This window comes from Homo sapiens, chromosome 4 (genome assembly GCF_000001405.40).
Source record: "Homo sapiens chromosome 4, GRCh38.p14 Primary Assembly".
Taxonomy (NCBI): domain Eukaryota; kingdom Metazoa; phylum Chordata; class Mammalia; order Primates; family Hominidae; genus Homo; species Homo sapiens.
In genome coordinates, this window is record NC_000004.12 from 13,556,699 (window position 1) to 13,583,472 (window position 26,774).

At 39.6% G+C, this 26,774-nt stretch overlaps 1 protein-coding gene across 10 annotated transcripts in view; it reads right to left on the reverse strand.

Annotated features, from left to right (window-relative positions):
- Positions 1–12,039: 12,039 nt before the first annotated feature.
- Positions 12,040–26,774, reverse strand: part of BOD1L1 (biorientation of chromosomes in cell division 1 like 1) — a 58,988-nt gene continuing 44,253 nt past the window's right edge. For 2 of the 10 annotated variants that reach the window (XM_011513827.3, XM_011513830.4), the window contains 11 exons: positions 25,954–26,038; positions 25,539–25,612; positions 24,434–24,509; positions 24,322–24,356; positions 23,230–23,275; positions 22,214–22,258; positions 20,884–20,933; positions 20,705–20,789; positions 20,140–20,293; positions 16,004–16,144; positions 12,040–13,430 (listed from right to left, as the gene is read on the reverse strand). In XM_011513827.3, coding sequence (XP_011512129.1) covers positions 13,313–13,430; positions 16,004–16,144; positions 20,140–20,293; positions 20,705–20,789; positions 20,884–20,933; positions 22,214–22,258; positions 23,230–23,275; positions 24,322–24,356; positions 24,434–24,509; positions 25,539–25,612; positions 25,954–26,038 — 909 coding nt within the window. In that variant the 3' untranslated portion in view covers positions 12,040–13,312. The other 8 variants (XM_006713958.4, XM_047450037.1, XM_005248151.4 and 5 more) reach the window with 8 other exon arrangements.

Here is a 26,774-nt window from a genome sequence, read left to right on the forward strand (position 1 = left end):
GTATCTCATTGTGGTTTTGATTTGCATTTCTCTGATGGCCAGTGATGATGCCTTTGCTCATTTTTGAATTTAGTTGTTTATTATTTTGTTGTTGAGATTCAGGAATTCTTTATATATTCTGGATGTTGATCATTTATTAGATACATAGTTTGCAAATCTTTTCTCCCATTCTGTGAGTTGTCAGTATTCTTGAAGGACTAGATAGATTAGATGGAGATGAGGGAAAGAGTCCTTCACTCTGGGAGATCCAAGGTATCTCCTGGATTTGGACTTAGGAGATTGGGTGAGTAGTGGTACTATTGATCTAGGTAGGAAAGACCTGAGAAGACTTGGTGGGAGCGAGGGTGGGAGGCAGGTGTTCAGTTTGGGATGTATTATGTCTGAGAAGCTTATTAGACATCCATTTGGAGGTGTAAAATAATCAGCAGTGAAAATGACATTTCAAGAAAAGTTCAATGCTAGAAATATAAATCTGGGAGCACTAAGATGATAGGTGATATTGATAGAACTGGATGTGGTCACCTAGGAAAATGATTGTAGCCTGGCCAGAGAGAACTACAGGTGCAGGAACCAGGGTCTTTCAACATTTACAGATTTGTTAGTAGAGGGACATTCACCCAAAGGAACTGGGAAGGAATCATTAGTTTTGTAGGAAGAACCAGGGGAGGTTGGAACTTGAGGAAGCTGAGACCGGAAACTGTTGCCATAAGGAGAGAATGATCAGTGGTAAAATGTGCTGCTGTCAAGCAATGTGATAGAGAAATGGCCCTTGGGTTTGGTCAAATGGACGTTATTGGTCACCTTGATAGAAACCATCTTGCAGAGTGAAGGGAGCATATCAGATTGGAATGCATTGAGGAGAACATAGTACAGGTAGAAGCAGAGTTAGTGAATACAGGTAACTCTTTAAAGAATTTGGCATGAAGAGGAGCAAAGCAGTGAGATGGAAGATGGAGGGGATCCTGCTTCTAGAGATTTATTTTTAGATAGAAGATACTATAATATACTGTTATACATGCTAGTAAGTAAGCCAATAGAGAGTGACAATTGATAATCCAGGACAGAAGAGAAAATTGCAGTAGCAAAATCCTTGAGAAGGTGAGACAGATGGATCTTTTTAAATGACTTACTTTTAAAAACTGCCAGATGAATTGATATACCTTCAAGTTTACTGATTCTTTTTTCTGCCATCTCTAATTTGCTGTTAAGTCTGATAAGAACTTATTTCCTAAGGAACCTTTATATAAATAACGTATGAGTAATATAGATATATTTATAAATAATAAGTAAATAGAGTACAATTAATCTCTTGCCATATGTAATTTAATCTTATAAATAAAGCAAGCTGGAGGAGGCGGTTTGTGCCTGTAATCCCAGCTACTCAGGAGGCTAAGGCAAGAGGATTTCTTGAGGCCAGGAATTTGATACTAGTCTGGGCAACATAGCAAGACCTCATCTCTAAAGGCATAAAAATTAGCCAGACATGGTGGTCTGTGTCTGTATTCCTAGATACTCGGGAGGCTAAGATGGGAGGATTTCATGAGTCCAGGAAGTTGAGGCTGCAGTGAGCTATGATCACACCACTGTTCTCCAGCCTGGATGACAGAGTGAGACCGCCGACTCTAAAAAGAAAAAAAAAATGCAGACCAAACAATGTTTGGGGCTGGGTGTGGTGACTCACGCTTGTAATCCCTGCACATTGGGAGGATTGCCTGCAGTCAGGAATCCGAGACCAGCCTGGGTAACATAGCGAGACCCTATCTCAAAGAAAAAAAAAAAAAAATTAGCCGGGCATGGTGGCACGTGCCTTTAGTCCCAGCTATTTGGGAGACTAAGGTTAGAGGATCCCTTGAGCCCAGGAGTTCGAGGCTGCAGTGAGCCAAGATCAAGCAATGGCACTCCAGTCTAGGTGACAGAGTAAGATCCGATCTCAAAACTAACTAAATAAATAAAACAGTGTTTACAATCTCTAGCTAGCTACAGTGTGATGCTGAAGGCTCTGGACATGAAGTTGGCTATTTGTTATAAGGACACATTGACAAGGGCTACAGAGATGTCACCGAATGCTAGCACCAACCTGGACCTTCCTTTGACATGATTAGCCAGATTAAAAGAGAATTGACACAACAGAAATGCATACATAAGTTCACCAAAAGACATATGCCAGAATGTTCATAGCCTCATTTTTTGATAACAGCTCCAAATCTGGAAATTATGCAAATGCTCAACAGTGGAATGGATAAATCAAGTGTGGTATACTCACAGAATAGGATATTATATAGCAATGAGAACAACCAGTCTAAATCTACATGCAACCATATGATGGAAGTTCATAAATGCAATGTTTTAGATGACTCAACTGTCACGTCCCTAGGGCCTAGAATGGGCCTGGCACATGGTAGGCTCTTAGCAAATATTTGTTAAATGAATGGTCTTATTTTACCCTCAATACAACCCCATGAGATTGGCAGGGCAGGTATCAGAATTTCTGAGAGGTAGAGAGGTCAAGTGATTTGCTCCCTTTCACCCTGATCATGGTCACTACATTAGGATCCCTGCTAAAACAGCTAGCTCTGTGAAATGTGTGTTAACTCGCCATCATTCTAAGTAACATTGCTGTTCCCTCAGCCTTTTAGCACGAATAGCGTATTTTAGTTTCTTTTGTTGTTGTTAAATCATATTCTGGGGCCTAACTTGGAGATGTTTATTTCCATTATGGGATATTTTGGACTGGGATTTGAAAGAGAAAGGGCCAGAGGGCTGTGCTTTCAAAAAAAAAAAAGGCTTAAGGTAAGGGGAGAGAGCTCACTGGAGAGATTTATGTCAAGGAATTTGCAGCAAACTCTGTCATTCCATCTGAGTAAGTGTGGCTAGAAACAGGAAGGGAAAAACAGGATATTGTGGTAACGCACGGGCTTAATGGAATGTCAGATGAACAGATGGGTTGGAGCTGTCCTGGCAACTGTCAAAGGAGGAAGTCTGAGGAGCCTTCAGAGGAATCCTTACACAAATGCAGGTGAAGTGGGGATGGGGATGTGTGTTTCCTGTAAAGTCAAAAAGAGTTGTGAGTGAAGCATCAAAAGGACAAGCAAAGGCACCTCTGTCCAAGTCATCTCTTTAAAGTCAGTCTGCATTTGGGTCCGAAGGAAGTAGGGGCCCAGTAGGTTCCCATCGATTTACTTTTAGGAATTAGAAATGATCAGTTATATCCTCTGACACTCCATCAGTGTTTACTGGAAAATAATTTTTTGAAGAGCCGGAGAACCCAAAATGACAAGGATGAAATTAACATCAATGTTCAAAGAAGGAAAGGGAAGCTCTTCTTGTACTTATTTTTGGCTGAAAAAAAAAAGTTTAACTATTTTAAGTAAGACTCATTGAAGACTGACAAGTTGGTGTCTTCAAATAAGAACGACTAATTTTGGAAAGGATAACTTTATTAACCTGTTTCACACTGCTATAAAGATACTACCAGAGACTGCGTAATTGATAAAGGAAAGAGGTTTAGTTGACTCACAGTTCTGCATGGCTGGGGAGGCCTCAGGAATCTTACAGTCATGGCAGAAGGGGAAGCAGGCACGTCTTATGTGGCAGCAGGTGCGAGAGAGCATGTGTAGGAGGAACAGTCACACACTTATAAAACCATCAGATCTCATGAGAACTCACTCACTATTATGAGAACAGCATAGGGGGAAACCACCTCCATGATCCAATCACCTCCCACCAGGTTCTTCCCTTGACAGGTGGGGATTGTGGGGATTACAATTTCAGATGAGATTTGGGTGGGGACACGGAGCCAAACCATATCAATGACATTTTTTAAAACAGCATTGAACAAATTCTACTAGTGGTCATAAGGAATGCATTACTTAAAAGCTAATTGAGAAGCTGATCCTTCAGATGTAAACTGAGCAAATGAGGACACAAATGATTTCTGGAGAATTTGGAAAATGTATTTGGAGTTTCCACTTTACATAGCATGGCAATATTAGGTACTTATAATGACCCTACTGCAGCGAAACACCCATATGCTGGATTAATTACATACTTGAATTGCACACTTAATGTGCACTGCTGGGTTTACTAAAGAATAAGCGATATCCACTAGCCACAGGTTTTTTTTTTTTTTTTTTTTTTGGATGGAGTCTTCCTCTGTCACCAGGCTGGAGTGCAGTGGCATGATCTTGGCTCACTGCAACCTTTGCCTCCCAGGTTCAAGCAATTCTCCTGCCTCAGCCTCCCAAATAGCTGGGACTACAGGTGCACACCACCATGCCCGGTTACTTTTTGTATTTTTAGTAGAGATGGGGTTTCACCATGTTGGCCAGGATGATCTCAATCTCTTGACCTCGTTATCTGCCCGTCTCAGCCTCCCAAAGTGCTGGGATTACAGGCGTGAGCCACCGTGCCTGGCCGCCACAGGTTGTTCTTGTTATATTGAAGTTGAAATATGTATTGAAAGATGGGATAGATGAGAAGAGTCAGAAGTGTGGCTGTGCTGATTGTTAAGCTATTGTCTCTTAACTCCAAACTCACTCTTCTGTATTCTGCTTTACAGTGCTAGGATTGGGATTCTGCAAGCCAGATTTCTCCCTAGCCAGCAGGACCACTGTTAAGTTCAGTCAATAGGGGATGCTGAAGAAGTCCAGAAGGCTGAGGTTGAAAAGACGTCTTATTTCTTGTTTGGTCACTCTTTTGTTAGCATCACTCCAGCAATAGTTCTTCATCTCAGTAATGGCAGATGATGGCAGTTGCACTTTGTTCCAGTTTCCAATTTTCCACCCACTCTCCTAGGACAAGCCACGTTGTCCTCTCTCAAAGATAACCAGCACTATCTGGGTAGCACCTCTCCTTAGGTTCTAAATCCCAGCCCTGGAGCTTCTCCTTCAAACTTCTAATAACCTCAATTTTTTTCTTTCTGTTCTCCAAGCCCGGAGATAGTCCTGGTTGCTTTCAGAAATAACTCTGTATTATATCAGTGTTACCGTTTCCCCTCTTAGTTCTCTAATAGCTATTTAACTAGTTCCCATTAAATGATTGTCTTAATCCATTTTGTGCTGCTATAATAGAATACCACAGACTGGGTACTTTGTAAAGAACAGAGATTTACTTATCGTTCTGGAGGCTGGGAAGTTCAAGATCAAAGGGTTGGCATCTTTCAAGGGCCTCTTTGCTGAGTCATCTCTTGATGGAAAGTGGGAGGCAGAAAGGAAAGAGAGCATGAGCTAGCAAGAGGGGGGCTGAACTCGCTTTTATAACAAACCCACTCTCACAATAACGAACCTACTCCCATGTTAATGACATTAATCCATTGCCCTCATGACCTAATCACCTCTTAAATGTCCCACCTCTCAACACTGTTGCACTGGGGATGAAGTTCCCAACCTATGAACTTTGGAGGACACATTAAAATAAACAGCAGTTATTTATTCAAATAGCTGGTGCAGTTTCTAATAACTGACTGGACCATAACTGAAACAAGGTCCAAAATTTATTTCCTATAATATGGTAACATGAATATAGTTAGAATCAGGCCTTGCATCCAATACCAGGGGTACACCCCTCTGAAAGAAAGGTGACCTTTAGTTACGAATCCTTGTAAACTTGCTAATAATGATAGACCTCCAGGAAAACAGCTAGTCGTGTTTACTAGTAGGAGAGTTGGCACTTATGAAATGCTTTTAGCAAGATATACCTGTCTGTTCAGAATTGCTTATGGTAACAAAAAACCAAATAAAATCCCTTAGAATCTATTTATATGTGGGACATGGCTCCCTGGAAAGTATCACACAAGTTATATAACCATCTGAATAGAGAAGTTCTGTGACTGAAATGGCTTTCTTCTAAGTAATGGAGCTCCAGATTTTTTTTTGAGACCTCAGGTTTTAATCTAGGCACATGTGTATCCTGATGAGAAAGGGCCTGGCAATAAGTTGGCTAGCTTGGACCTGTGTGCTTCACTTGTGCCTAGCAACTACTTATATCCTTGAACTTATTTGTAAAGCTTGATGCTGGGTAAGATCTCTGATTCAAGAGTCTGATTTAACAGTTAATCCTTTATGCTATTGCATAGACCTTTGCTCAGAATGCTACAGGTGCTTCAGTAAAATACAGGAGTACACAAGCAAGAGGAAGACATAGGATACAGGTATTAAGAGATCCAATGGGAAGAGAAGTGAAGGGTAACCCTAGGACAATGATTAGAGGAGCCTCCAGGATGAGATGGCAGCCAGTCCAGACTGCATGAGGAGGACTCAAGAAACAGGTGGACAGTTGTCTTCAGCAAGATGCCTTCTGGCCTTGGACCATCTTTTAGTATCTAGGGGTACCTGGGAGAGTTTGACATAGATTCTTTTATATACTTGGCTTGCTGCCAAAGCTCTTCCTTTCCTCTCTGTCTACTAAATGTGAGGCAAAACATTAAAACTTTTAGAATATCTATTTGATCTTAAGTCTTTAGGACTCAAAAAAAGCTGGCCACAAGACTAAATTTATATCAATTACATTAAAATTAAAAATCATTCATCAAAAAGTACCATAAAGAAAGTGAAAACATAAGCCGTGTGTGTTTGTGTGTGTGTGTGTGTGTGTGTGTGTGTGTGTTTGGGGGAGGGATATGTTTGCAACACATATACATGAAGGATTAATATCCTGAATATATAAAGATATATAAAGAACTCCTAAAAGTTGATAAGGAAAACACAAATAACCAAATGGAAAAATAGACAAAAACCATGAACCGGCATTTCACAGAAGAAGAAATAAGGATGGAAAATAAGCACATGAAAGCATGCTCAACCTTCTTGTAACCAATGCAAATAAAGGCCACAATGAGATATATTATCCCTACTAGATAGGCAAAAATCAAGAAGTCCTGTACTGCTCAATATTCGAAAGCGAAGTAATTTTTAAACACTACTGGTATGAGTACAATATGGTACAAGCATCTGGGAAAAATTTTGGCATTATTTTCCAAAACGGAAAATATGCTTATCCTAGGAATTAGCAGTTGTACCATGGAGCAGAAAGCTGTATATATCTTAGTGCAAAGAATGGATGCAGGTGTAAAGATATTTTAATTCCCTAGCTTCAAAGTAGCTGAGTGGCCTGCTTTTCTGGTTAACAGGCTGATAGTCTCTTTAGGCAGCAACCAGCCTGGTCCTTCCACTTATATCCTGTGCCTACAAATACCACTTTCTATATGTACCACAAAATTTGTAAGTTTAGGAAACTGTACCATAGAGAAGCTTCATAAAAATGTTTAAAACAAAGCAAATTAATCTGTGAATAATCCAAGGACCAGTAAGAGGTGAATGGCTTAGTATACTGAGATAATATATATATATATATTTTTTTTTTCCTTCAATGGAATACTATACAGCAGTGAAAATGAATCCAACTGGAGCTATACATATTAACATAGATGAATTTTAAAACATAATGTAGAAGACAAAAGCAAGTCTCAAATGATCCAAAAAATGATTCTATTTGGAAAGCAAAAAAATTTAAAACTGAATATATTGTTAGGGATATATACGTATGTAGTAAAACTGATAAACAGCTATAAAATAATAAACCTTTATTTAGAATGGTAGTAATCTTGAGGGGGAAAAAGAGTGGTACAATTGGGATAAGGGATGGACATACATATTTTATTTTATTTTTATTTTTTTCAGTAGAGACGGGGTTTCACCATGTTAGCCAGGATGGTCTCAATCTCCTGACCTCGTGATCTGCCCGCCTCGGCCTCCCAAAGTGCTGGGATTACAGGCATAAGCCACTGCACCCGGCCCCGGGATGGACATATTTTTTAAAAGGGCAAAAAGGTAGATATGTAAAATCTCATTTATGTAAAAAAGAATCTACTATTTCATCAATTCAAAGGCAGCTTTTTCCCCTGTATTTTAACAGCTCTGAAGTTAGAATGTGTCTTGAAATTGCTATTGAACAAGTGACAATTATGATATAGTTGTCATTGCCATGCTTGATATTGTTCCTAACTATTCATATATCACTTCAACTGAATTATGTGTATCATTGGTTCTAGATCCTTTGATTTTAAACACCAATTACAGTTTTTTAAAAGGTTAGAGTATGACTTGGCATCAAAACAGAGTTACTGTATACTTGGAAAGTCACAGGACTGAGAAATACATTTTATATCAATGAGGCCAATATTCAGTGTTGGAAAGGAGAAATAAGTATGATTCTATGTTTTCTCAGAAAGCAACAACCAAGTGCTTTCTGTGACTTAAGAAAGGAAGATATCTACAAGTAGGTGATGTTGTTACATTTTGTTCCTGAGATATATGCAAGGAATTGCCTAAAACATGACAAATCATACAGCTAAAGGTGGAGAAATCACCAAATCCCTTGTAACTGAGGAGAAACATCTTAAAGCAACAAGCTGATGTAACTGATTCATGCATGCCATTAAGAATATCATTAATTTTTGTGTTACGGTGTTTCTCTTTCCTAATAGTATACAAAGTAATGGTGCATGGGCATTTTATAGTCAACAGCATTTTAGATTCAATGATTTGTAGTATATGAGTTCTGCATATAGGTAAATAGAAAAAGGCCTGGAAGAATTACACATCAGACTGTTAATAGTGATAATATCTGACTTTGGGACTACCAGTGATTTTTTTCCTCTTTATTGTTTATTTTTAATTTTCTACAATCAAAACATTGCTCACATAATTAAAATTAAGATTTTATAACATTTGTTTTGTTTTGTTTTGTTTTTGAGACGGAGTGTCCCTCTGTCTCCCAGGCTGGAGTGCAGTGGAGCAATCTCAGCTCACCGCAACCTCTGCCTCCTGGGTTCAAGCAATCCTTCCACCTTAGCCTCCCAGGTAGCTGGGATTACAGGCACGCACAACCACGCCCGGCTAATTTTTGTATTTTCATAAGAAATGGGGTTTTGGCATGTTGGCCAGGCTGGTCTCGAACTCCTGACCTCAAGTGATCCGCTTGCCTTGGCCTCCGAAAGTGCTGGGATTGCAGGTGTGAGCCACCATGCCCGCTACTATTTTTTTTTTTTAAATCAAACATATTCCAAGAGAATGTCAAGGGAAAGCTGTTTCCACTTAGATCTGTTGTGGGCATTAGCTAGGTGAATGAAGTGGAGGATATCCTCAAACAAGACCTTGGTTCCAATCCTAGTTATGCTTCATATGTATGTTCTTAAGCAAGCTATGTAACGGCCTTGTGCTTAAATTCTCCCAACTATGAAATTGGGTGTATGATACTCTTTCACAGGGCTATTCTGAAACTCTTAAGGGTTTTCAAAGTTTTGTGCAACATCAGTTTCCATGGATGTTAAGTTTCTGTGTGTGTGGTTTAGGGAAAGAAAGCAGGTATTCTAAGGTTTAATAACCTTGGAAAATTCTGGGTTCAACAAAGTTAACCTGATTCCTCTCATAATTTCTTAGAATTTATATTTGCTAATGTGCACAATGAACTTCCAAGAAGGGCTATCGTGAGGAAGCATCTCTTGGAACTAGTGTTTTGTGTAATGCCAAGATATATTGATAGTATTGTCTGTATCTTCCTCCAGGAAGTTTCTGAAAGGTTGACTTACTGGTAAAAATGGCATCCATTATTGTCTCCAGTCGTCCCCGCTCTTCAGCTTCTAAAATACTCTCTTTAGGTTCCAACCTTGCTTGAAACTCCATTTTAGACTTTTAAAAATAAACTCCTCCCTTGATCTGCCAGGAGTTAGTCCTTTGTCCTGCTTCTCTAAGGAAGGTATTCTTCTCCCGTTTGCTGTTCTGTGACAATGCAAGTGCAGCCCAGCTGTTTGCTTCATGAGGTTGTGCCCTTGAGACTTGAGCCAACATTTGAGTCCCTAGTGCTGGGCAGAGTAGTAGCTCAACAAATGTGTCCTTTCCCAGCACAGCAGTTTCAGTGGGAAAAGTGCTGGTTCTAGAACTATTTTCTTCCCCTGAGAACAGTATCTGTCAGTGTATTCTGAAAAGCATCTTGTTCTTGATTTAAGTCATACAAAGATGGCTACACAGTAATTTTAGTAAATGTAAGGTACTCTTGTACAAATGATGAACAAGACATCCTAAAATCCAAAAAACCAAAAAATAAAAAAGCAACCTTTTCCAGCATTTCTTCTAGTTAGAACTATCTCCCTCTGACCTCAAATCAGTTAGGTTTTATCATTGGCAGAGATATTTGGGGAAGGGCTCTGATATATTATGGTCCTAAGAGCAGTGAGCTTGCCGTTGAGGTGGAAAGATCAATGCCTCCCTCCCGTGGGCTTTCATATAAAGAGCCCTGGCCTGGGGGTTGGAAGACAAAGAGTTCAGTCTGTGTTGCCACCAACTTGCCATGAGATCTCATTGGGAAGAGGAGTGTTACCTGATGGCCATTCCTAATTGGTGTGGTTATGGTAAACCTCAGTCAGTAGATTCTAGTATTTAAGTAAAGTCTAGGTCGTAGGGGTCAAGTGGTACCACCCTGAGGAAAGAGGCCTGAAACAGGCAGGGAAGGATTGTGGTTGTGGATGACCAACTTCAACTGAGGAGGAACCGGCCATCGTTGTAAGCCACATCGCCCTCAGTCACAGGGCATGCTGCTGCCTTCACTAAGTCTTGTGTGATCCTCCTAGCCTTGTCTCAACTCCGGGTTGGGAAGAGCAGATGGGCTCTTGTTCAGGTTGCTCATGGAGAAGCAGTGAGGCAGTGGCAGTGGTAACAAGCCAAGGCCTGAGAAATGTCAAATCTGGAGATGGTCTGCAAGTGCTTCTCAGTGAGTTAGTGGAAGCTACTGGATTTTAGGCTGGATATTTTTTTTGGAGTCAGGGACTGTCCTGTAAATTGCAGGATGTTTGGCATTCCTGACCTCCTTCCTTCTGCTCGATACTAGTGGTAGCAAATCATTGTGATGACTAAGAATTGCTTCCACCTGTTTCCAAAGTCTTGTATTAGAACCATTGGAAGGTATGTGGTCTAACTGACTTCCCCATCATAAAATTTTTCATTTATTTCCACGATTTAGTTCCAGTTTTATCGAGAGGCAGCATTTCTTCACACTCCAACTACTCGGTCCCTATAGGGTCATGCCCACAGCAGCCATTACTAAACTGAATAACATCAGTGTCACAGTAAGACTGCAATTTCAGCATGCACTCCTGGTGAACCAATCTAAAACTGACAGTGCAAAGACTGTGACCAAAGGAATCAGGAACCTTGGAAACTAGTTCAGCTTCTACCCTTTTACTTTTTACATTTTTTACTTATATTTTGTATTTTAGATTTGGTTTTCTGTTCCTGAGTAAATTCACTTAGAATAATGGCCTGCAGCTGCATCAGTGTTGCTGTAAAGGACGTGATTTTGTTCCTTTTTATGGCTACAGAGAATTCCATGGTGTGTATGTTCCACATTTCCTTTATCCAATCCACTGTTGATGGGCACCTAGGTTGATTCCTTGTCTTTGCTATTGTGAGTAGTGCTGTGATAAACATGTAAGTGCAGATGTCTTTTTGGTAGAACAATTTACTTTCCTTTGGGCATATACCTGGTAATGGGATTGCTGGGTCAAACGGTAATTAATTTTAATTTTTTGAGAAATCTCCAAACTGCTTTTCACAAGAGCTGAACTAATTTACAGTCCTACCAACAGTGTATAAGCATTCCCTTTTCTCGCCAACATCTGTTATTTTTTGACTTTTTAATAAAAGCCATTCTAACTGGTGTGAGATGGTACATCACTGTGGCTTTGATTTGCATTTCTTACTTTTAAGACAAATCACTTTAGATTTTTGAGTTTTGGTTAAAAATCATCCATATACATAAAAATGAGAAACTCTCATGTTCCTCATCTCTAATGGCCTTTCTGGATCTAAAGTTCAGTTCTTCCAAGTTCAGTTCTACCGAGTTCAGTTCTACTGAGAAAGGCCATCACTGACTCAAATTTGAATGTGAGCATGGAATGATACAGCTAAGACCAATTATTTAGAGAGAAGAAATGGTTTTCATGCAGACACATTTTAAAACACACAAATAAAATTCTTACCACTCAAATTTTGGTAAACATTTTATAATTTATATATAAAATCTCAGTAAGAAACCATGTAAAATGACAGAAATATCCACCTTACATTAAGAGTCAAAATAAAAAAAAAAACCCATACACACTGAATGTAAATTTTAATTATAAAACAAGAATATGAACAAAACATTTTAAAATAATCTCAATTATTTGGCAACTCATCACATCATTGCAAGAGACAAATTTGATCGTAAGAAGTTTAATCTTATGAAAAACTGAAGTTGGACAGTTTGCTCATATGAGAGTTAAAACATGTTTAAAAAAACACTTGGCAATAAAGCCAGTTTCTATACTGAAATAACTGTGTATAAAACAACATAAAATCCTGAAACTGGATAGACAGGAGGGACCTAATCTTGAATGCATTTCTCTTCACTGAAAAAGACAATATGGAAAGAGTATTGGTAGAAGCTTCAGAACAGCACAGAAGAGGAATGAACACAGAGAAGAGGAATGAAGAGGGATTTCTGCTGCAGGTGACTGACGCAACTTTACCTGAACCAGAACCTGTTTTGTGTCAACGTGGCTGGTAGTAAAGTCACAGATGCAAGTATAATCTAAAAACAAGTTACATTCTTAAAAAACAGAGCCACAACTGTGAACAGAAAAGCAATGAAGAACCTTTCTTTAGCTAAACTACTTTACTTGGATACATGCGAGTTTCTGCCAGATCATATTAAGATAGTTACAGAGCAGGCAGAGTCCTAAAAAATTTTCTACTAATGACTGCATAGCATTTAAAACCCTTTTTATTTAAAAAAAAAATAAAGTAAAATAAACAGATATATAGTAAAGTTCACAGATAAGTTTTCTCTGTAAAATAAATAAAGTGTTCATTGATTAGCATCATACATAGAGTAAAATACAACCTATTTTTACATGTTTATATACTATACACAGATTACCAGTAGGCAGCCTGGCGTCTGATGGGCTGGAGGGGTTTGCATTCATGATGTGTCACATTGGGAAATCCCAATTTTGAATGTTAAAATATACAACTACTTTGTTTTGAGTTCAGATACAAAGTAAACTTATTGTCCTTTATCTGAAATAAATGTACATAATATCTTCTATGAACAATAGTTTATAAAGCTGTTTAAAACATAACAAGAAAAAGCTTGCACCTAGGGACTTACAGCACATGCATATCTTTTTCCTGGTTAAAGAGAAGCCTATGGCCACCAAGGCATGTCTCTTTCCTCTCCACCGTGTTCCTCCATAAGCCTAGGGCAGCAGTGGTCAGGATTATCGCTTCGCTTTTTTCACAGGGGCTTCCTCCACCCTTTGCTGGCCTCTTGTTCGGGCCCCAGGAGGGCTGACTTCTCTCTTGCGCTTGATAGAAGGGGAGAGCTGTGTCTTTGATCTGCATTAAGCAAAGTCAAGGCAATGGTGAGGTTTAAAAGCAGCTGCTTCAAATAACTTGGGAGTTCCTTAAAAAACAGAAGAGTTTTGAACTTGACAGCTAAGAAGAGAAAAACCCAGTAACATTTATACATGAAAAGGAGCTACCTCGCGAAGAGCTTGAACTAACTGGTTATTTGCTGTCAACCTCACACACAAACACAGGACACTGGAAGAGAAGTTTGAAGCCTGTGCTCTGGTTCCAGCTCTACCACACTCTAGGTGCTGATGGTGCTCAAATCCACTTCCTTCTCTGGGCCCTAGTTCTTTCATCTAGAAAACAAAGACATCAACAGCGGGTCCCACCAATATACAGACTGTCCCAAGTTCAAACAACTAGCAAGAACACAGCAGGACTGCAATCTAGGTTGGACCAAGTGCAAAATCATGTTTCGTAGCACAGTATTACAGAAAATACCTGTGTTAGAAAAGGCACGGGAATTTCAGAAGAACATTCTAACCAATCTCCCTATCACCAGCATACCCTGTTGATATAGTCTGTGATTAAAATTATTTGTTGGAAACTCCAATTAATCATGTTACTGTCCTAGAGATGTATGAAGTTCCTCTTGGGTCTCTGATGCTTTCAGGAGAAAATCATCCAGAGCCTTTTATAGTTCTGCCTTCTACTTGTGCACCATCTGGGCCTGTAGTCCTGCACCTTCCACATCACAAAGCAAGATGCCCCATCTTTGGAATCCCCCACAGAGAAATGTGACTTTATTGATATGAAGACTTTAGGTCTTTACCACAGCATTTACCATTGTGATTCATCTGCTGTGTTTTTTCAAACTGCAAGTTACAATCAATATTTTAAAACAACATGTTAATAGGACACAACAGAAAATACCACTCATATCACATCTATTAAATTTGACTCATGAAATTTTGTTTCAGTTACAGCAGCAGGAATGTGAGCACCAGCTGTATTGCAAAATATTCTTATAGTGGGTTGTTGCCAAAAAAGTTTGAAAGTCTTATACACATATATCTCCCCCATTAGACACGATGATTCTCTAGGGCAGCTGCTGAGATTTATTCATTTTTCTAACTCCAGTGCCTAGTGCAATGCCCAACACATGGCAAGCGGGCAGTAAATGTCCTGTCAATGAATCAAAGAGTTGGAAAACCAAAATTGCAGGAGATGGAGAAATGGGACTCTTAGTGATATGAAGACACGTCTTCCGTTTCTTGTTTGACAGCAAAAGTAAATAAACTGAGTCAAAAATTGTTGCAGATGATGTGGTTTTGACATGTGTTGACAATGACTGAAAATGTGTTTGTTGATAATCCATTTCAAACTGTTTCCATGGAAAGCCACCAGCCACTCAATGAACACCTCTTCAGTAAAGGTGCCGTGCGCAGTATTGTGCTGGGGGCCAAGTGGCAGCCAACAGAAGCTCTGAGTCAGGCTGCTTCTCCCCAGCCATGTGAGCTTCGTAGTTTATCCAGGCCCTTCTAGTCCACCCAGAATGTGGTCTGTGAGGAGGGGCATTGGTCACTGAGGAGCTTGTTGGAAATGCCAACTCTCAGGCCCCAGCCTAGACTTACAGACCCAGGATCTGCATTTTACCAACAGCCTCAAGTGATTTGACTGCATGTTCAATTTTGAGTAGTATGCATGGAAACCTTCCTGAGATTCTTTCCCTCACATATAAAATAAGAGTAACTATTACAATTCACTCACTGAGGGTTAAATGAGAGCATGTATGTGAAACTGCCTGGCACTATAGTTTGCTTTCGTTTCTAGAATGTGCGGAAAACAGCACATACATACAAGTATGCTGTGAAGATGAAAATGTGGTAAGAGGTCAAAACAGTTTTTGTGTACAGTGAAGAGTCTTTTATTTTTGAATATGATAATGTATAGAAAGTATGACAAATTCCTATCTCAAGAAAGAAACCTAGAGCTCAGAGGGGTAAATAAAAGGAATATACCAAACCAATGCTATGTGGCATCTCAAGTGCCCAGTACTGACCAGAAGTGCAGCAAGAAGAGATGAAAATGGGCTGAAGCGGGACGGAAAGGATCTGACTTACTAGGGGTGCTGGTGGTGAGGACACTCCTCACTGGCTCAAGCAAAGGCAAGAAAGGAAGGCTCAGGACCACCTCTGGGAAGCAGTAAGACCAGTAAGGCTGCAGTGAAAGGTGTAAGCTGGCAGGGGCCGTGCCTGAAAGAGGAAGCTTTATCACCTCATCACCTCTCCAATGCTCTAGCTAAAACAGAAATGATTCTGGGCTGTTAAATGCTTTACCACACTGCCTTGCCTTTGGTCTTGGTGGATGGGAGAAGGCAGATAAGGCTCACAGGTGTCAAGGACAAGCCTGTGTGGCAGTCCACTGCGGCAAGGCCAGACTGGTGAGGCCACACAGACACCTTCTGCAGCCCTTCCTGTTCTTCTTGGAAACCAATGATCCCCAAAAACAGTTATTTGGTGAGACAAAATCTTAAAGGAAATTAGGAAGAAAGCATTATTGTACCAAAAATAGTCTTAGGGGGTTAAAAATGGCTTGAAGTGTAAGCAGGGACTTACCTTCCTAATGGGGGAGAGTTACTAACTTTTTCGCTGGTAGGTAACTTCTCTTTTGCTAATTTTTGGCGATTTCTAGGAGAAACTGTGTCTGGGCTGCCAAGTTTGGATGTTGCACGTGCAGATGGCTTGCTATGTTGCTTTCTGAAACAGATTATAGAAACACTGGGCAATGGTAGCACTGAATACTCCAGTCCCTGGAACTCTGTAGGAAGTATGAGGCTCCTTGTGGGCAAGTCAGAACAATAGGAACTAAAATCAGAAAAATGGTTGGTTTTCCTGACCACTGCTGATAAGTCGATCTTAATGTCATCTACAACTACCTCTGCTTGTGTGACACTATCTTTGTTCTTACTGTGCATGATATTTTATTGTGATTTAGAAAAAAGATGTATCTGCGAAAAATAGAAAATATACTGGCCGACAAAATAAAGATTACAAAAGAGCTCATCAGGGTAGAATAAAGGGCCAAGATTAACGAAAGTACAATTCACAAGGCTAAGTGTTAAGGCCCAAGTAGTCAACTGCACAAGAATCAGATAAGGAATTCTGATTCCAGTAAAAACTCTGAAAAAGGAACTTGTTTAGCTGGTGTATTTTTCAATTTGAGGCTCAGTAATGAGGATGCACACTGAAGAACAATATCCAGAAAATAAGGTAGAACAGTCCTCTTCTGGATTCATTAGACCACACTTGGTATACAGAGTTTGCTTCTATCTATCTGTCTGTCTGTCTGTCTGTCTGTCTATCTATCTATCTATCTATCTATCTATCTTTCTTTCTTTCTTTCTTTCTTTTGAGAAAGAGCCTCTATCTATCTATCTTTCTTTCTTTCTTTCTTTTGAGAAAGAGCCTCGCTCTGTCACCCAGGCTGGAGTGCAGTGGTACAATCTCTTCTCACTGCAACCTCCACTTCCCGGGTTCAAGCAATTCTCCTGCCTCAGCTGCCCAAGTAGCTAGGATTACAGGAGTCTGCCACAATGCTCGGCTACTTTTTGTACTTTTAGTAGAGATGAGGTTTCACCATATTGGCAAGGCTGGTCTTGAACACCCGGCCTTAAGTGAGCCACCAGCCTTGGACTCCCAAAGTGCTGGGATTACAGGCGTGAGCCACTGTGCGTGGCCTCTTTTATATTTTATTAATTTAATTTAATTTTTTCTTTTAAGAGGGTCTTGCTATGTTGCTTAGGCTGGTCTCGAACTCCCAGCCTCAAGCAATCTTCCTGCCTCAGCCTCCTGAGTAGCTGGGATTACAGGCATGAGCCACTGCGCCCAGCTGCACATTTGCTTCTAAAAGAGGATAAAGGTAACTGATGAGCACAAACAGGGATGATGAAGGGGCTCAATAAGCAAGCAGAGAAGACCTGGAAGCTGCCCTCAAATATGTAAGGCAAAATTAGACAGAAGGTTCTGAAAGTCGAACTAGAATCAAGAGTAGAAGCCACAGGGAGGCCGGCTTCTACTGAACACAAGTCAGAGAATGCTAAGGAGGATGTGGCTTTCCCTGCCACTGAGGTCCATGCAAAAGCAGGAAGACCCTTTCAGAGGAGCTGCAGGTGCAGTGACTCAGGCACTGACTGGCTATTGGTACTACATGACCACTGAGAGCCCACCCAACTCAGACAATTTGTAAAATTATGAAGACACCAGAGCCCTGGGACTGATCAACCAATGCCAAGGAATCTAAACTAGAGAGAAAACAACTCATTTGTAAATCAAAAGTTTATATTATAAAGTGCATGAAGGAAGAGCTTTGATAATCCAGGTGATTACAGAACCATATAAATCAAATAAGATTTATTTTTAAAGAATTTATAAAAGGCAAATCTGAGAGCAATTTCTAGACACTCACTCGAAGATGGCTAGAAGGCCTATGGAACTTTCTCTGAGTTGAGCCCTACTTTCCACAACTGTTTTAAAGGGAAGCAGTAATTCTGGTGGGATGGATGCTATACCCAAATGCATGGGTGTTGGGCTCCAGCACCCTCACCCTCTCCTAGCAGCAGCAATTTGGATTCTGTGACTTCTTTTCTATTTATGTGAGCTGCTCCACCTAAAAAAACAAATATGAGACCACCTTATAACTTTAGCCGTGTGAGCTTCTAGAGTCCTTTGGCTCTAAAATCTGATTCTTTGAGAAATCAAACCATGGCACAAATGGCTAATACTGTGTTAAGTCTGGAGGAATTAGAAACAGATTGATTTTAAGTTTTTGTTTTTTTTTGTTTTTTTTTTTTGAGACGGGGAGTCTCACTCTGTCACCCAGGCTGGAGTGCAATGGCGTGATCTCGGCTCACTGCAACCTCCACCTCCCGAGTTCAAGCGATTCTCCTGCCTCAGCTTCCCAAGTAGCTGGGATTACTGGCACGTGCCACCACACCCAGCTAATTTTTTATATTTTTAGTAGAGATGGGGTTTCACCATATTGGCCAGGCTGGTCTCGAACTCCTGACCTCGTGATCCGCCGGCCTCAGCCTCCCAAAGTGCTGGGATTACAGGTGTGAGCCACTGTGCCCAGCCCCGATTTTAGTTCTTTATGTAAACACAAGATACTATTATATTATGCTGTTAGTGTTATTTTTGAAATAAATCTTCCTGAACTTTTTGATCAATCTTGAATAATGAAATTAAACAAGATGATACCAAGATTAATAGCTTGTAAATCACATTAATTAAAAATTAAAAAAATATATATTTTTTCAGAGACAGAGTCTCACTGTCACCCAGGCTAGAGTGCAGTGGTGCGATCACAGCTCACTGCAGCCTCAAGCTCCTGGGCTCAAGCGATCCTCCCATCTCAGCCTCCCAAGTAGCCGGGACTACAGGTGCATGCCACCATGCCCAGCTAATTTTCTAATTTTTTTGTAGAGATGGGGTCTCCCTGTGTTGCCCAGGCTGGTCTCATAAACTCCTGGGCTCAAGTGATCCTCCCATCTTGGTCTCCCAAAGTGTTGGGATTACAAGCATGAGCTACCGTGCTCAGCCTGGAAAATATTCATGTTTGGGAAAGTGATTAACGGTTAGGATGAGACAATACAGTTATGTACCATTTCTCAAATGTGCCATGGGGAAAGGAACACTGGATGATGTGAACAGGTATAATGATATAGGCCAACAACAGAAAAGTGGTATCAGCAAATAATGCTTGTTTAAACAAAGTTCAACAGGCTTCTTTCCTTTAGGAGTTTGCCAAACCCTTTTTTTTTTTTTTTTTTTTTTTTTTGAGATGGAGTCTTGCTCTAACACCAGGCTGGAGTGCAGTGGAGCCATCTCAGCTCACTGCAACCTCCGCCTCCCACGGTTAAGCAATTCCCCTGCCTCAGCCTCCCGAGTAGCTGGGATTACAGGCACTCACCACCATGCCTGGCTGATTTTTGTATTTTAGTAGAGACGGGGTTTCACCATGTTGACCAGGATGGTCTCGATCTCCGGACCTCGTGATTCGCCTGCCTTGGCCTCCCAAAGTGCTGGGATTACAGGCGTGAGTCACCGCGCCCAGCCCTGGAGTTTGCCAAACCCTTAATATTTTAATGAACATGTAACTGAGGAAGGAGAGAGAATTCAATGACATTCCCAAACTCATCTGACCGTGGTACTCTTTTTCTCAGAGGTTTCTGGCTACAATAGGGTTTGAGAGAACACATTTTGGGAAATATATGAAATTACCTCAAAAATGGTCAAATTTGGGCACTTTCCTATGATCAACCTATTGCATAGCACTGGTGAGATGCATGTGATGACGGTGCGTGGGCCTGGTTCCTCCTGCTTTCTGGGTTGAATTAAGTATGCTGAGAGCAGGGATGATGTTTTATGTATGTCCATATTCATGAATGGTGCTCAATACGACATCTGAAGGATGGCAGATGCTCAAAAAATATATTTGTAAGGAATTGAATGGGTTCCACCAAATAGGCATTTAAAACCTGGTAAAGACTTTGAGGCAATCCCCCAAAATGGTTTAGGACAGAAAATGTGTTCTCCAAGAACTATGTGCCCACTGCTAACAATAAAAATGAAAGGGAAGAACTTCCACTGCAGCATGAATGATTCAGTTCAAAGAGAATCCCAGAAAACCCAGAGCAATTTTCAGATGGAGAAGCTGGTGAAGGTCTCTGGCAGCTCTGTGCTGCCCCCATTACCTCTGAGCCTCTGATCTGGTGGTGGATCTTGTGGTGGCTCCTGAAGGCTCGTCCTCTTCCTCTTCTTCCTCTTCCTCATCAGACTCCTGCTCTTTCTTGTCCTCCACTGGATCAGAAACTGATTTCTGGCGTTTTCTTTCTGGCTCTGAGGATTCTGTTCAAATAGAAGGGTAACACCTGGATTTTACAATTCCCAAAGATACTTCCAAGAGAGAGAGTCATGGAGTTTAGAACTTAGGATATTAGGGACTTGGAGGCAGAGAAATGGTTTTCCACTTCCTTTTTGTTTCAGCACTTGCAATTCACAACTGTTTAACTTAATCTCAAACACATTTTGGATAGTTTACATATGCAGTTCACAGCCAGCGTTCATAAAAAATTGACATGTACTCAGAAAAGCATCTGGGATGTACCATTTCTGACACGGGATTAGACCTATTTCACACATATTTATATAATATTAATATTAGCTGTACCCATTGGATTTTTCCTCATTCAAAGAAAAACTCTTTAAAAAGGTGGTTTTGAAACAATAAGACTTATTAAGAATTTGCTAGAAACATACCAGCATCATCTGATACAGTGAGAGAACGTTTGGGTTTTCTTCCTCTCCGACGCACACTTGTTACTATTTTTTCTTCACCATCATCCTAGAAGCAATAAAATTAAAGTCAAAAGGGTGGTCAGCTGAGCATTTAAGTTGATTTCTAAACAACATATCTTGATAAGAAATTTAACACTTACATTGCTTATACTTCTTTCTTGTAGGTTAGCTGTTTCTTTATTGGATTCATCTTTAAGAAAAGGGAAATCTCTGCATTAATATTTTATTACTGTAAATTTAAATTTCAACAATCAGCCTGGCTTGTCTGTCAATGTATCAGTATTAATACATTGTTATACATTTCATCATTATCTTGTATCAGTCAAGCAAAGATAGAATCAGAATACCTAGCAGAGATCACATTGGATTGTGAGTCACGAAACATAAGTTTTCATTTCAGATTTTATTTAAATTTGCTGACCCTCAGTTTTTTCAGCTGCAAAATAAGAAGTTGGATTAGACTACTTTTTTTTTTTTTCTAAGACAGAGTTTCACTCAGTCATTCAGGCTGGAGTGCAGTGGCGTGATCTTGGCTCAATGCAACCTCCGCCTCCTGGGTTCAAGCAATTCTCCTGCCTCAGCCTCCTTGAGTAGCTGAGATTACAGGTGCCCACCACCATGTCCAGCTAATTTTTTGTATTTTTAGTAGAGACGGGGTTTCACCATGTTGGCCAGGCTACTCTTGAACTCCTGACCTCAGGTGATCTGCCTGCCTTGGCTTCCCAAAGTGCTGGGATTACAGGTGTGAGCCACCACGCCCGGCTGGGTTAGACTACTCTTATTCCCTTTCAGCTTAAATGTTCTGACCCCAAAAAAGAAGAAAAAAGGGGGCATATAAGGAGCCCACAATATGTACCAGTAACTGCAAGTTGGAATGATATACAGGCGGAGCATCCCTAATCTGATGATCCAAAATTTAAAATGTTCTAGAATCCAAAACTTTTTGAGCACCAACATGACCCTCAAAGGAAATGCCATTGCAGCATTTTGAATTTTGATTAGGAATGCTCAACTGGGAAATGCAAATATTCCAAAATCTGAATAAATTCAAAATCTGAAACACTTCTGGTGTCCTAGGCATTTTGAATAAGGATATATAACTGGTACTTTTGTTTTATTTTTATGAGACAGGGTCTTGCTCTGTTGGCCAGGCTAGAGTGCAGTGGTGCAATTATAGCTTACTGCAGCCTCCAACTCCTGGGCTCCAGTGATTCTCCTGTGGAGGCCTCTGAAAGTGCTGAGATTACAGGTGTGAGCCACCACACCTGGCTAATATGGACTTTTCAATTTCAGTGTAGCTCTGCAAGTATTATGATCCCAGCCTATAGTCTGAACAAACCAGGCTTGAGTAATCTGTTTAGAGTCACATAACTAACAAGTAGAGTGACAGGTAGAATTCTTTTGACTCCAAATACATCATGGTAGCTAAAAAAGTACATTTTATGACCTGTTTGTAGGGTGCATACATACATTCTTTATGCATTTGCTTTCTGCAGATGTTACAATTTTCTGAGACTGTATCATGGTAAGAAAAGTAAAGATTAGTTCAATGCACTAGTTGAAGCTGAAATTATGGGGATGTTCATCAGGCACTCAAAAACTCAAAGGTACTTCTTTTTAGTGACGGTAGTAGTTGTCCTTTTTTGCAAGTTTAAAATACCAATGAAGATGAAAAAGTTAACCCAATAGAAATGTCAACAAAGAGGACTGTCTTAAAATGGTCATCATTTTACCCACATTCAGAAAACATTCTGAATAACACAGCTTTAATTGGAGTCCTTAAAGGGGACTGAAGTTATAAAGATTTCTTGTATGGATTCAAAATACTACAAAATTATTAATAAAAACTGGTTAAGACCAAACGTGCATAATCTCCTTCCTCTTTCAAAAAATAAATGAACCTTAATTTACCAAGACACAAGAAAAAATGAAGTACGATCACACATAGTTAAATGTGGAAACAACTATATATTACCTATTTGCTTTATTTGCTGATGAGAATATGTACTTTCTCAGTCTGACCATACTATTTATTTGATACAAAATAGCTGTCACATTAATCTTTGTTGTTGATATCAACACTTCAAAGCTCACTAATGGCACCTCTTGTTTTATGTAAAAAATTTTAGACCACAAAATGCATACATATACATTGCAAAAAATATCTGGAAAATGCAAGCAATATTGACAAATAATATGGAATGCTCCCATTATTCCACCCTCCAGAGCTAATCATTATCAACATTTTGGAATATATTCTTCTCCTTGGAATGAGGAGAAAAATAGTCAAAACAATTTCAATTCTTGAGTCCTGGGCTCTGTAAGCCAATAGATACAGTCTCTCCCAGATACAAGGACAATTATTTTTACCAAGGGGGCCACCCACTTCAATGAGAGGCAGAATGGAAGTTCCAAACCTTCTCCAACAGCCAGCCTCTCCTGCCCCTCCCTCAGATAACACACAGAGGAATGCGGTAGGTACATACCTGTTTGCATTACTTTCAGTTTGCTGCTAGATGGAGATTGTTCTACCTATGTTTAAATAAACAAACAAAAAAAAATTTTAAATCAGCAGTTTATAATCATCACATAGAAATGCAATCAATGATGTAAAGGTGGTATAGGATCTTTATTTACATAGGCGTATTTGAGACCTATTTTCTGTAATTGATTAAGTATACCTAGCAAACATGGATGCCTGAGCTTCTAAATACAGACTTTCCAATAAGTAACTTCCCTTTTGTGATGCTACAGGATGAGAAGTGAGGCAATGCAGCATGGCCACTGTGGTTAATGTTTCCCAAGGCAAACCATTTTACATGTTGCTAAATGCATTCACATGTGCTTCTCTGGTTTTGTCTTATAATAATTCTATGAGATAAGTACTGCAGGCATCATACCACTTCACATTCAAGGAAACTGAGTCACCAGAGGGTCCCATGATTGGCCCTAAGTCACAGGTCTCGGGATAAGTGACAAAGCTGAGGCTTGAATCCCATGTTGTTTTGTTAGGTCAGTGAACACACGTCTGTCCTCCTTACAATGCTCTTCTTGTAATGTCCTCCTTATAATAATCCATTGAAATGCATGCGATGGAATCCTGATACAATGATTTTGGTGGGTATACGTCAGGGTCAAAGATAAAGAACGTTCAAACATAAAATATCACTAAGGAGTTTCCTGCACTGAACTCAGTGAATATTTTAGGTCAAAAAGAATTCCAAAGAAAGTAGTAAGATGGTAAGACAACTCACAAGTCTCTATAAAGAAGCCACTATCTCAAAATCTTATAAAATAGCTAATTTGTATATTTTAACCAAGGGTGGCCACAAGAAGTTAAATCCCTAGATAATTTTTAAATAATCAAACTCCTGAATTAGAATGGAATCAGAATGAAGAACAACTAATGTAACTCTGTTTACACAAAGATACTAGTAATCAAAATATATGAATGGTTACTCAGTCTTTTAAAGCTTTTCAAGTAAAAAAAATAAAGTTCAAAATACTAGATATTGCATTATACCGTTTTTCAGGTTAAGAGCAAGTATTTGAAATTGTCATGTTTTGCAATTACTTACAGTGACAATGCCAGTATCTGTTTTGGAGTCGTCTTCTAAAAAAAAAAAATTCACTTAGAAAATCGGTTCGAAAATTTCTTGTGTGTGAACTGAAAACACACCAAGTACCTACTCATTTTTAACGTTGTTTCTACAGGGTATTTGCGAGGTCTTCCTCTTTTCCTTTTAATAATTATTGGCTGATCTTCCTAAGGGGGAAATAAAAAACAACAACAGCAATAAGAAAAAAAATTTTATCCTTTATTATATAAAGTTTTCTCAAAAATCAGATTTAGAGTTCCTGTCTAAGAGACCTCAAATCCTAGCTTTGTCACTTTAAAAATATGTGATGTAGGGCTTAGTGTTTTATTTACTGATCTCACCATTGCTTCTTCAACCTGATAAATATCACTAACTGTCATAAATTAATGGAGCCATGAGGATTTTGAGACAATGAAGTAATCAAAGTGTAACCTTTTACTTCTGTAATAAGTATGTATGTCCATTTAATTTGGGATTTGGCCCAAGTTAGTTGTGACCAAATGATACCCTTATAAAAAATAAAGGGGTCCACTGAATATATCATACAGACAGAACAATAACAAATGATTTAACAATGGGCAAACCTGGCAATGGTTATCTAGACCCGGCTAGTGCACAGGCTGTGTCTCTTGATTTATGGTGCTCAGTCTCAAGCCACTGCAATTCTCTGCTCCACAGGCTCCCTGAAAATCTATGGGCTTACAGCAGGCAGGGCTGGGATGCTCTGTCTGTGCATGCAGCCTCCAGGAATCCATGACCTTGCCTCATGAACTAGGTCCCCTCGAGTATTCCCTGCATGCCTTCTGCACACCCTGCTGCTGTTCCTATTTCATCCTAGCTGGACTCCATGGCTCAGACAGCCTCCTGTTTGCTGCCATGTGCCTGGCCTGGCAGCTCAGCATTGCCAGGCCAGGAACCTGACATTGCCGCTGACGTAGAGCACTAAGCTGATCCTATCTGGCTATGACATAAGTGGGTCTCATACAAATGTTTTGAAGAAACAAAGATGAAGAGAAAAAAATTAATCAAAATGACACTGATAAAATGCACTGTATGAAATGGTGTTCCATTGCACTAAAAAAACCGCAGCTTCTTCAAAGTACTTAAGAAAAACTCAAGATAACAGTATTTAATGAATTTAATTTGGTTAGTGCTTAAATAATTGTGAACAAACAAATACGAAAAGCACATCTCACCTCCTGAGATTTTATGGTGTCATCATCGTTCTGCTCTGGCTTTTCACCAGTAGTTTCACTGCTGCTATATTCATCTGTAGAAAAGGAAGAACTTTGTTCAATGCTAGTGACCATGGTCAGCCTTCCCCACCTTTACCCAGGTGACCTACACAGCTGCAGCCACACATAACCACACACTCCATTTTCATGTTTCTACCATCAAAATTAACAAGCCTGAGTTTGGGTGACTAGTAAACAGCACACTTTGAGTATAGCAGGATCCAAATTAAAAATGATTCCCTAGCCCTATTAATCTTAAGCATGAGGCACTTTATTACACAGGAAAAGTAAATGAGCAAAATAGACGTTTCGGTTGAGAGACACGCTGGCTGCTTTGAAGGCTCAGTCAATTTACCCAAGCAGATATTTTACTCACCTTTTTCTTCCATGACCCTTGAGGTAGTGCTATTTGTCTCAGAACTGGTTTTAGGTAATTCTTCCAAATCTCTGGAGTTCTCTTCCTATAGAGAAGTTGAAAAAGACTAGAACCTTCTTCAAACTGAAGCCTTCGTCCATTCATCCTCCCCACACAAGTTTGCCTTTCTATTTCAAAAAAACTTCCTAGCTCTTTTTAAGGATAGTTTTTGGAAAATGTTTTTGAAGTGTAACTATTATTGCTGCTAGTGAGACCATAAAAAAAATAAACATTCTGAGAACAGAAAAGCATGAGATAAGGTTCAAGTACAACATATCAAGGCCATTTTCTTTCCTGCAAAATAGAAATTGTTCTTCTCCTCCCTCTACTTGGATTTTGTCTTTTTAAGACAAACTCCAAAGGAAGAATGGACAGATACTGGCAACAGATATTTATCTTTGTGGAGTGATGGAGGGGAGAGATGTGGGGAAGCAATAATTTGGGAGGTGCCAAAGGGAATTTCTGGGTATCCAGATGGGCTGACTTGGAGCAGTGATCTTTCAGCAATTAAATTATCCCCCCATAGTGGCAAGAAAGTTCTCAGCATGAAATGCCAAAATGTTTCAACTATAATACTAATATAGTATATAAACAAAAATACATAAAGTAGAATAAGATCAAGATGAAATAGGAAACTAAAGCTTTAATTTTACTTTAATGGCCCATTATAAAAAATTGTAAATCCTCATTTCTATTAATGTTAATTTTACTTATTTTTTAATAGAAATATATTCTTGTGGTTCAAAATTTAAAGGGGTCTATAATGAAATGCCCTCACCCCC